Below are 9,915 nucleotides of genomic sequence, written 5' to 3'. Positions count from 1 at the left end.
CAGACAGTTATTGTAGCCATGTGAGTGGTTGAGAAAAATAGATAGCAGTGAAAAGAGAAACCATGAAGAACAGCAAATTTTCCAAGACAAGCAATAAAGAGGAGCTTTGAACCAGAGTTTGTATACTAACAGCAAACAATCCTCAATCTATATGTGTTATTGCTCAAAGTTTAGTCCTAAGTACAGAGTTCACAGCAATGCTTTTGCATTGATGTAATTCTGATTCCGTTTACTTTTTCATAAGTCTGTGAAGCCACTCAGAAGCAACATGGAACAGTAAACTGAACTTTGGTATTAGAAAGATTCAAAACTAATTTAAATCTAATTGTCTTATGGTCAATTATTAGCTGTATGACAGGCAAATAATTCAATCTGATTTTTAATTTTTCTCATATATCATGAAAATGATCTATCCCCTCAAGTTTATTTTGATATATAAATGGAATAATATCTTCTAAATGCCTGGTACTTATAGACATTAAAAAATGACAGTAATTATTATCATTATTAGCATGATGTTAGTGTTAAATATTAGATATATACTTCTTCAGAGCAGTTGAGCTATACGTGTGGGTTGTGAGAAAATTCCTTCTCTTATCTCACTGTTTCTGAGATTCTTTTCATTTTTTGTTTGTTGGATTGGGTGGTTGGTTAGTTGAAAATGTTTTCAAATATTCACTCTCCTTCTCCATCAATGCTTGAACAAAATGTACCCAACCCTTAAGGTCTATTCAAATAATTATCCCTGAATGTATTTCTGATTAGTCTCTAGCTAGAGAAGAGCCCTCTCACCTTTGACAACTTATTAAACCTTTCAGATTATTTTCTCATGGAACCTCTTGTTTGATGGTATATCATAGTCATTTGTAAGCTATGTAATTATTCCTGGACCATTAACTTCTTAAATTCAAAGACTCATCTTTGTGATTCCTGTGGTCCCGAACAAAACATTTGTCACAAGCATAAATAAATAGAAATAAGTATCTTTATAAATAGAAATTGAATAGTACCACCCCTACCCTCAGATTGTTGTACTAAGGATTTATACACTAATTGTCCTCATTCATTCATTGATACAAATGAATGACACATCTCTCATACTCATCTCACCACAGAACATTATTGAAATGTTTATATTTTCTCAGATATTCAAGCCCCAGAGGCCCCAAAACAGATATGAAAAGAGGACAGTACCTTGGGCCTGGGGAGAAAGTCAGTGAACCCTGTTGCAAGTTGCCAAGCTTAAAACAAGCCCCATAGAACAGATACAACCCAAGTGTTATGAGACAGACATCCTCAAAGTCCTCCAGCCCATAGTCTGTCCCTTAATTCTTAAGAAAGGAGAGGGAGAGAGAGAAAGCACATTTAACCCAATGCTTATCTCACCTATGGGGAGAAAACAGAATTACCACCACCACCCCTACCCCCATATTTCTAAGAATTCAGTGATAGGGGAGTTAAGGACTGCGTTTATCCTTGGTATCATTGGTTCTTATTTCCTCTTGCTGTTAAATTCTCTTTAACAAATGCTCTGTCTTTTCTCCTTTACATGCTGTTTCTTCCCTGCCCTAAACCCCAGATCAGATAGTCCCCAATCACTTTTTCAAGAACCCCCCACCACAAGTTTGTATCAAGGAACTAGGCATAAAACATAAAAAGATCTTTTCCACTCGTATCAATACCACCTGACTCTCTTCTTGTAGAGCCCTGACCGACCTCCTTCTTGCTTGCTCTCTCTCCCTCTCCTTTCTTAATGTCTTCCCATCCAGACCCAGCTTCTAGATTCCCCTCCTATTACTGCTTTTAGGCAGAACAAACTATCCCTCCATTTGTTTAATTTGAGCCTATCTATTTGAATCATGCTCTAGAGTACAAGACTTCACCTTTCCCATTTGCTGCCCCCCAAAAGCTATTATACTTATAAATAAAGTATTTGCTTAAAAAAAGAAGACTATTTCACTTCATCAAAGGGATCTTGTCCCTGGTTTGTAAAGGGAAAAAAAATACATTTTTTTCTCCCTCCCACACGGGAACAAATTCAAAGGAGTCAGTCAGATTAGGCAACCAATCTTGCCTGCCAAACTTAAAAGGATAGAAGTGCCTCAAGGTCAGCAAGGTGAACTAAGACATCAATACGGGTCATGCAGAGATAGAGCAAAGTAAGTCAAGGGCCAACTGAAAATACATTTTACAAAAATCTATGTTCCATTAACAGCATTTCTTATTCTGTAAGTTGGTTGCCTATGCTAGGCTGGGCATAGCTCCTTAAAACAGCAGAACTGGTCCACATGCTCAAAGAGACTGTCAACTGCTTGAGAGAAAAACACTTTTAAAGCATCTCCTAGAACAATAACTTGCACAGAAAATAACACTTCCTAAATCTTTTTTTGTAATGACTTTTTCATATGGACTCCTTCTCTTCCCAGCTTCTATAGCAATGACAGGGTATTAGAAATAACAAAGGGTGTCCATGGCCATCTGCCATCATCAGCATCATTGCTGAATACTAATACTCCCTTTTCTTAATGTCTTAGTCCATTAGATCATTTGTGATACCATAACAAAACACTTGAAACTGGGTAAGTTGAAAACAACAGAAATGTTTTTCTCACAGTTCCAGAGACCAGGAAGTCCAAGATTAAGGCACCAACAGGTTCTGTGCCGGGTGAGGACTGTTTCTCATTTAGGTGTCCCCACAAGTCAGAAGAAAGGGAATGCCAAAAGGGCACTAGGGCACCCTTCAGCTTCTTTTATAAGAGCATTAATGCAACCATGAGGGTGGATTAATCACGTCCCAAAAGGCTCTATCTCTTATTGCTATCACACTGGATATTATGTTCTTACTTGTGAATTTTGGAGCAACACATGCATTTAAACTATAGCATTTCACAAGGTTCAGTGATGGCTCATTGTTATAGAAGTTTCAGAAAAAATTCCTTACTTAGTCAAGAGATTTCACTGTCTGTTATGGACTAGATGTTTGTGTCTCTCTCTTCCCCTTAGCAAATTCATATGTTGAAGTCCTAACCCCCAATGTGATGACACTTGGAGATGGAGTCTTTAGGAGGTAATTAGGGTTCGATGAGATCATGCAAGCAGGAGCCTCATGATGAGATTGCTACCCCTATAATGTCAAAGAGCTTGCTTGCTTTCTCTGCCATATAAGGACGTAGCAAGAAGGTGGTCAACTATAGGCCTGGAACAGAGCCCTCACCAGAAACTAAACTTTGCCAGAATCTTGATCATAAACTTTCTAGCCTCCAGAACTATGAGAAAATAAATTCTGTTGTTTAAGTCACCCAGGCTATGGTATTTTGTTTTGACAGCTTGAGAAGACTAAGACACACACACACACACACACACACACACACACACACAGGGAAAGAGAGAGAGAGAGAGAATTGTCAATATATATTCTTATCATAGAAAATATATAGAATAAAAACTAGAATTATTATTTATTATTCTTAAGCAAGTCATGCCACTTCCCAGAAGATAGACTACCTATTTCTAAACAAGCTCTGTTTTATTTAGAGAAATGCTCTTATTTTTGATGTTCCTAAAAAAGAATAAGAACATATGTGCTCTCTTGTATTCTGCGGGATGTAAGAAATTTGTGAGTGGATTTTACTGTGGCCTCACAATTTCTGTCATTAAAAAAAGTCAGAAGCTAGGTCAGAAGAAATCTCCATTGCCATTCCCAATGCCTCCTGGTCATCTTTGCACTGAGTCAGTATTGTCCAAACATGGCATCTGTTGTCTGCCCCATCACAAAGTTAGGGAGGCCAGCTGTGTCATCCAAGACTGTTCTGAGTATAGAAGAGCCAATCCTTCAGGCAGTGGAAAGAATAAGTAGAGCTAGTATTTGGGTGTTGTTTGTGGTGTTCTACAATTTTTTTTCTATTACAGTTTTTAAAACCAAGAGATCATCTTTCCTATAGTGCAGAAGCATCCTAATTTTGGCACGTAGTCTTCTTGGCAGCCATTGGAGCTAAACTCTGTGCTCTGCTCCTTTGTAGCCTCTGCTCTAATGTCCCAGTGCCAAGCCCAAAGACATGGGATAACCTCATTGGAAGCTTGGGAGCATGTGTCTGCCTTGCAGGCGTCCTCTTCCATCACTTGAAGATATTTATGACTCCTAATACTCATCTGGATGGCTCTTCAAGTCACCAACCAAATTACTCCACCTGAGGTAGATGAGGACCTCTCCCCACACAAACAGGATGGACTTCCTCTATTTGGTATTTACAACACCCCTTATTTCAATTCTTATTTCAAATAGCTCCTTATTTCAATTCTTCCCTTGAGACTCTTTGCTGGGGTTTTAAGAAACCAGTCTCCAGGGCACAGATATCAATTGACCAAATGAATAAAGATTTTTGCAACAAAAAGAACTGAGTGAGACGTGAATGGAGATAGAGAGTAAATATGGAAAAGTAATTTGTTCATTTGTATGCAGTATTTTTCAGATATTGTCCAAGTAACTGCTTCACACTCTAGTGTTGAAGAAATTACACAGCATACACATGAATTAAGTAAAATGGGCAAATGACTATTACTCCCCCTGTACATCAACCATCACACATAACATTTTATTAACATAAAATATTTCACTGGTCAGAAGATTCTACCTTCCCCAAAAGATAAATATCAAAATGCCAAAGTTCTTTTTTTGGTGCCATCCATGTATTCATGTATTTATTCATCAGTTACTCACACGAGAGAGATAATTTGGATAATTCTAAACCAATTAAAGTGATACAAAAGTGACACCACCATATGAGACATTACTATGTCTGCCACCTTCGGACACGCAGTTCTTGATACTTCTTAATGTGGAGAAATTGTTATTATTCAAAGTTGAAAAATAAAATGAATCATGGTTATTTTCTTAAAGCACAAATTCTCATGATTCAAATATTTATAAAATTCAATATACTATATATGCTATTTTGGAAGTCCAGGAAATTATTGTAAGTCAGGATTCTGTGATTTGTAGTTTAGAATATTTAAAGCCCATGGTATAAATTAATTTATTCATCTAATTTTAATTGCATACTTACTATGTACCAGGTTACACTAAGTACCAGGAGAGATACATGGACTTCTAATTCATGATCCCTTCTGATGAGAAACACTATCTAGTTGAAGAGAGAGATATGTAATGAACTGACACCATTAAATGAGTCAGCTTTCAGGGGTCAGAACCTTGTGTGTTCAAATTCAAGCCCTGGGACTCAGATCATATATATTTAAAGTAGATATAAAATCTACAATTATTATAATAAAATATAAATGTGGATATTAACATGAAGTTTTTAAAAAGAATGTGAGTGCTGTAATAAGTCAGGTTCAAAGAGTCAAGGACCATCAGGAAAGAAATGACCAGCTCTATTCAGAAAAATTTCCTCAAAGAACGTAACATTTCAGCTGGATTAAACGGATAAAAAAGACAAAGAAAGACATTCCAGATAATAGGAATCCATGTAAGGGAGGCATGAAAAGCATGGTGTGCTAATGAATAGTATGAAGTTCAAACTGATTAGGGCATTGAAGGCAGGAAGAAAAAGAGATTGGAAGGGTAGTCAGGTCTGGACTTTGTAAAGTAGTTAAGAAGAGCAAAGAGACTTGTTAGGTCAGCAGGGAAGGGTAGGAATGATGGGCTTCCATGTGTACTTTCCATGTATCCAGCTCATCTGTCACAAAATAGCTGCCTTATCACAATCTCAGCTGCCCTTTCATAAACCAAATCCCTAAAATGTTAACAATAGTAATAAAAATAGCCCACGTTGCTAAATTCCAGGAGGCACCCTTCGCATTTTATTTTACATTAATAGTGCCCTCTGATTTATGCAACACCAGCATGCACTCATGTAAACTGTATTAATTTATTGAGATTTAGAATAACGAGTATAGAAGCCAGACTGACATAGTTTCTTACTGTCCAATTGGTGCACATGAAGATTCTTCTTAATGTTCAGGCACCATCTCTTCCTGTTCAGGTCTACCCTGTTGGTACCCTGTTGGTACCCTGATGGTACCTATTGGTACCATCCTGAGGTGGAACTACGTTCTTTATTGTCAAATGCATTTCATTCCGGGCTAACTTTATATCTCCCATCTCAAAAAAAAAAAGTAGCAATGCTGTTATTACTCAAGACACAATGTCTCTTTGGAGGTTGTTCGTATTGAAACAAATAAATCTTCTTGCCTCTACAGTTCTCGATTACCATTGATTTAATTTAAAGCTGGTTACATCATTACTTATGATCCTGCATCATCCATCACGTCACCCTCAATTCTGGCTTCCAGTGACTCTTGTGTTTCACTGATAATAAGCACAAATGCAAATCTCTGTCATGTTAAATTTACTACTCAGACTTTCTTAACATAAAGAGAACAACACATCTTTCGACCACGTTTTCTCCTAAATTCTTAGGACATGATCACAGCATTTCTACAATGTGACCTATTTTAATGTTACTTACACCCCTGCCTTCCACACACAACCACCAACAGTAAGAATAGGTGAGGGGCCTAAGGTGAAACAAAAAGAGTGTTCACATTCCTCCAAGAAATGTTTGGCAGGACTTTAAAACCAACCCAGGGAAGCATAATGTAACCATGTCGATGGAGGCAAGAGAGGACATCCACTGGAAGGGTCCACTGGTATTGCAGACCCATGGTCTTCAAAGCCCTTGGAAGAGATAGGCATGGTCACCCTCAAAGACTGCCTGACAATTGATGTGGAATCTATAGAGAAATGGAGTGACCACCCTGGGTACCTGTGGCAGAGAATGCACTGGGTAAAGGATACCTGTCACCACTGCTGCTACCTTTATGTATTGTAGGCAAAGCCTACTTAGGTGGAAAGAGCTGCTGGGTGGCCCACACATACAGCTCAAGCCCAAAGGCAAGTCAAAGGCCAGTGCCCTAAACTTATTTTGTGTTCAGTGTGAATGAGCCACCCAAAGTCACCTGTCATGACTTCACAGAAGATGGTAATGCAAAAATGGAGCTGACCTACATGACTTTGGAGAATAATGTTTTGACTGGAAATCGTATGGCTAAAGACAAAAGGAACTGTATGTAAACACTGCACTCTAGTTAGTAAATTTGATTTTCATGGAGAAATGGGTTTATAACTCTGAAACTCCTTTACATGCATCCTGAGGTGGAACAAATGGGTAGATGGAGGCTAGATAGTGGAAGAGAAGTTTCTTGCTGTCATAGAGGCAAGGAGGAAGGCTAGAATAAGTCCTGTGGTTCTGGATTAGAGTCAGAGACATCAGTATGAACTCATCATTAACCAGAAAGATAGCTACATACGTACAGAAATAATTACAGTTATGTTTGTGTGTGTGTATTCAAATGAAGATATGAATATTAGTATTCATACCTACCTTTCTTAGCTCCATTCCCTGAAATGGTCTAGAAGCAGTGATATCCCATTAGCAATGAGAATACCCAGCACTCAGATCTTTGTAAAACCATTCTCTAATAAAGAGAACCAGGCCTTCCTTAAGAAATGGCCATTTCTAGGGCTGGGAAAGGGAAATATAAGATGAGCCTGAGGCAGCTTGCAATGCCAGAAAGAAAACAAAGTATAGAGACCTGTCAAAGGCATAGGGGAGCCAACCAAAAAGAGGCCCCAAAGCTGAGATACTTTGAGCAACTAAATAATGTGGCATTGAATTATAACCCAAAGTATATAATATATATGAGTTTATACTGACATAAATGAACAATTAAATAACAAGTCTTTCTTATGAAAATATAAATAAGACATGTAGCTACTCCCATTTTCAGAAGCTTATCCCTCTCCCTCTCTTTCAGTGTGGGCTGGATTTCATGATTTGCTTCCAAAAATAGAGTATGGAAAGGGAAAAGTGATAACTTCACGGTAGAGAAACCTGGCAAACACCACCTTAACCAAGTGATCAATCCTAATATCCCCATGATAAATCATGTTGATATCATACCATGTGCCCTCCAATATTATATGAAAACAACATTTTACACACACACACACACACACGTGCACGCACATCGATGTGCCTGCACCATTGGTACATTCGGGTGTACCAATCTTCCACACTGTGCAGGAAAAAAACAAACAAACAAAAAAGCCAGCTAGCCAGAGTGATGAGCTTGCCAGACCACTCTCTGAAACTAGAGCAGTGAGTCTGGCTCTATAGGCTTAACTGTTGAGTTCCTCTGGGATTCTGGTCGACTCCATGGGAAGTGGGGAAGCTGGAGCTCAGGTTACCATATATGGGGGAATCTTTTTCCAAAAGTTTTAAGTTCGTCTTTGGTGCCTGAGACTGGTCAGGGTGGCATTGCTATTGATACAGGGTGCCCAGACCCGGTCCTGTGTAGGTCCAGTTCAGTGACAGCGCTTTATTGAACATTTTCTAGGTCCGTCTCTGGGGCCTTTGACCAGCCAGGGCCCACCATCTCCATTTCTCTTTTTCTGAGCACTCTCTGACTTTTGTGATGATTGCAACAAATGTGAAAAAAAATATGTTCGATACATTCAACACGGACCAAAGTGGGGGCTGCTTAGGGACAGGGGAGTGGAATGGTGGGGAGCGCAGAACATTCCAGCAATAGAAAGAAACTTTTTGTAACTTTGTACTAGAACCTTTCGTAAGCACCACACTTAAAATGAAACTATTAAGCAGTGTTGTTAAGAACAAGTTGTGGAATAGCATGTACAGTATGAAACCAATTTGATAAAAATTTTAAAAACACAAACTAATAAGGATAAAATAAGTATGTGAATTAATAGACAAAGATCTAAGAGGCCTGTAAATTCATAAACAAAGGTCTGATAGACTTGTACATTTATAGACAAAGGTATGATATGACTTACCTCTGGGAACAGGAAAAAGAGGCCCAGAATAATATTTTAGTGTTTTACAAGAAACATTCACCCTCCAACTCCTCCAGCTCATCAGTTCAGTAGACCTTCATCACTTCTTACTGTATGTTTCTCCAGGTGTTCTAATTCCTCTTCCAATAAGGCTTCTCCAAACTTCTTACACTCTTTGAGTGCTGTTATTCTAAACTGTCTTAAATTTCTTCTAAGATCACTTTTTTCCCCCAATTCTGTCAACCACACTTATCATCATCTCTATCTCCTTTGTTCCTCAAAATTTCTTATAGTGTCTGAATAGTAAAGAAAAGCCATGTTTTACATTTTGGCATATAATAAGTATTTAATAAATTTAACACCTACAGGACAAATGGCCCTGAAAATGCTATTGAGTGATGGTATAACATTGCATCATATGGGTGTTTTGTAATATTACTAGCTATTTTATTTTTTAAAATTTTTTAATTTCCATAGGTTATTGGGGAAGAGGTCGTGTTTAGTTACATGAGTAAATTCTTTAGTGGTGATCTGTGAGATTTTGGTGCACCCATCACCCATAACCCATCACCCGAGCAGTATACACTGTACCATGTTTGTAGTCTTTTATGAGTCCCCAAAGTCCATTGTGTCATTCTTATGCCTTTGCATCCTCATAGCTTAGCTCCCACTTATAAGTGAGAACATATAACGTTTGCTTTTCCATTCCTGAGTTACTTCACTTAGAATAATAGTCTCCAGTCTCATCCAGGTCGCTGCAAATGTCATTAATTCATTCCTTTTTATGGCTGAGTAGTATTCCATTGATATATACATATATCCATACACACAATGAAATACTACATATATATATGTATATCTATATATATGTGTATATATATCATCATGTATATCAATATATATGATGTATATCAATCAACGAGTGGATAAAGAAACAGTGATATATACTGTTTCTTTATCTACTCGTTGATTGATGGGCATTTGGGTTGGTCCCACATTTTTGCAATCGCAAATTGTGCTGCTATAAACATGCGTGTGCA

At 37.9% G+C, this 9,915-nt stretch overlaps 14 annotated features.

Annotated features, from left to right (window-relative positions):
* Positions 1 to 2,285: part of a biological region, named in NCBI's record as "alpha fetoprotein (AFP) 5' regulatory region", that runs on past the window's edge. NCBI's record gives its function as "regulatory_interactions: AFP | LOC111832671".
* Positions 11 to 43: an enhancer, noted in NCBI's record as "C/EBP site A7 or A2 site-6". NCBI's record gives its function as "CCAAT/enhancer binding protein-responsive enhancer" and the evidence as "EXISTENCE:reporter gene assay evidence [ECO:0000049][PMID:15144905, PMID:17188819]".
* Positions 11 to 375: an enhancer, noted in NCBI's record as "domain A liver enhancer". NCBI's record gives the evidence for it as "EXISTENCE:reporter gene assay evidence [ECO:0000049][PMID:15144905]".
* Positions 26 to 42: a protein binding site, noted in NCBI's record as "C/EBP A2 site-6". NCBI's record gives the evidence for it as "EXISTENCE:protein binding evidence [ECO:0000024][PMID:15144905, PMID:17188819]".
* Positions 39 to 439: an enhancer, noted in NCBI's record as "hE2". NCBI's record gives the evidence for it as "EXISTENCE:reporter gene assay evidence [ECO:0000049][PMID:15028291]".
* Positions 153 to 173: an enhancer, noted in NCBI's record as "C/EBP site A4 or A1 site-7". NCBI's record gives its function as "CCAAT/enhancer binding protein-responsive enhancer" and the evidence as "EXISTENCE:reporter gene assay evidence [ECO:0000049][PMID:15144905, PMID:17188819]".
* Positions 155 to 173: a protein binding site, noted in NCBI's record as "C/EBP A1 site-7". NCBI's record gives the evidence for it as "EXISTENCE:protein binding evidence [ECO:0000024][PMID:15144905, PMID:17188819]".
* Positions 275 to 302: an enhancer, noted in NCBI's record as "HNF-4 site A3". NCBI's record gives its function as "HNF4-responsive enhancer" and the evidence as "EXISTENCE:reporter gene assay evidence [ECO:0000049][PMID:15144905]".
* Positions 333 to 351: an enhancer, noted in NCBI's record as "HNF-1 site A2". NCBI's record gives its function as "HNF1-responsive enhancer" and the evidence as "EXISTENCE:reporter gene assay evidence [ECO:0000049][PMID:15144905]".
* Positions 354 to 375: an enhancer, noted in NCBI's record as "HNF-3 site A1". NCBI's record gives its function as "FOXA-responsive enhancer" and the evidence as "EXISTENCE:reporter gene assay evidence [ECO:0000049][PMID:15144905]".
* Positions 581 to 590: a transcriptional cis regulatory region, noted in NCBI's record as "NF-kB site II". NCBI's record gives its function as "mediates regulation by nuclear factor NF-kappa-B" and the evidence as "EXISTENCE:site-directed mutagenesis evidence [ECO:0005528][PMID:28970114]".
* Positions 926 to 935: a transcriptional cis regulatory region, noted in NCBI's record as "NF-kB site I". NCBI's record gives its function as "mediates regulation by nuclear factor NF-kappa-B" and the evidence as "EXISTENCE:site-directed mutagenesis evidence [ECO:0005528][PMID:28970114]".
* Positions 1,877 to 2,285: an enhancer, noted in NCBI's record as "hE2". NCBI's record gives the evidence for it as "EXISTENCE:reporter gene assay evidence [ECO:0000049][PMID:15028291]".
* Positions 2,049 to 2,073: a protein binding site, noted in NCBI's record as "C/EBP site 3". NCBI's record gives the evidence for it as "EXISTENCE:protein binding evidence [ECO:0000024][PMID:15028291]".

The sequence above is a fragment of the Homo sapiens genome, chromosome 4 (genome assembly GCF_000001405.40).
Source record: "Homo sapiens chromosome 4, GRCh38.p14 Primary Assembly".
In the NCBI taxonomy this organism is placed as follows: domain Eukaryota; kingdom Metazoa; phylum Chordata; class Mammalia; order Primates; family Hominidae; genus Homo; species Homo sapiens.
Note: the sequence above shows the minus strand (reverse complement) of the source record. Positions and strands in the feature narration are given on the sequence as shown.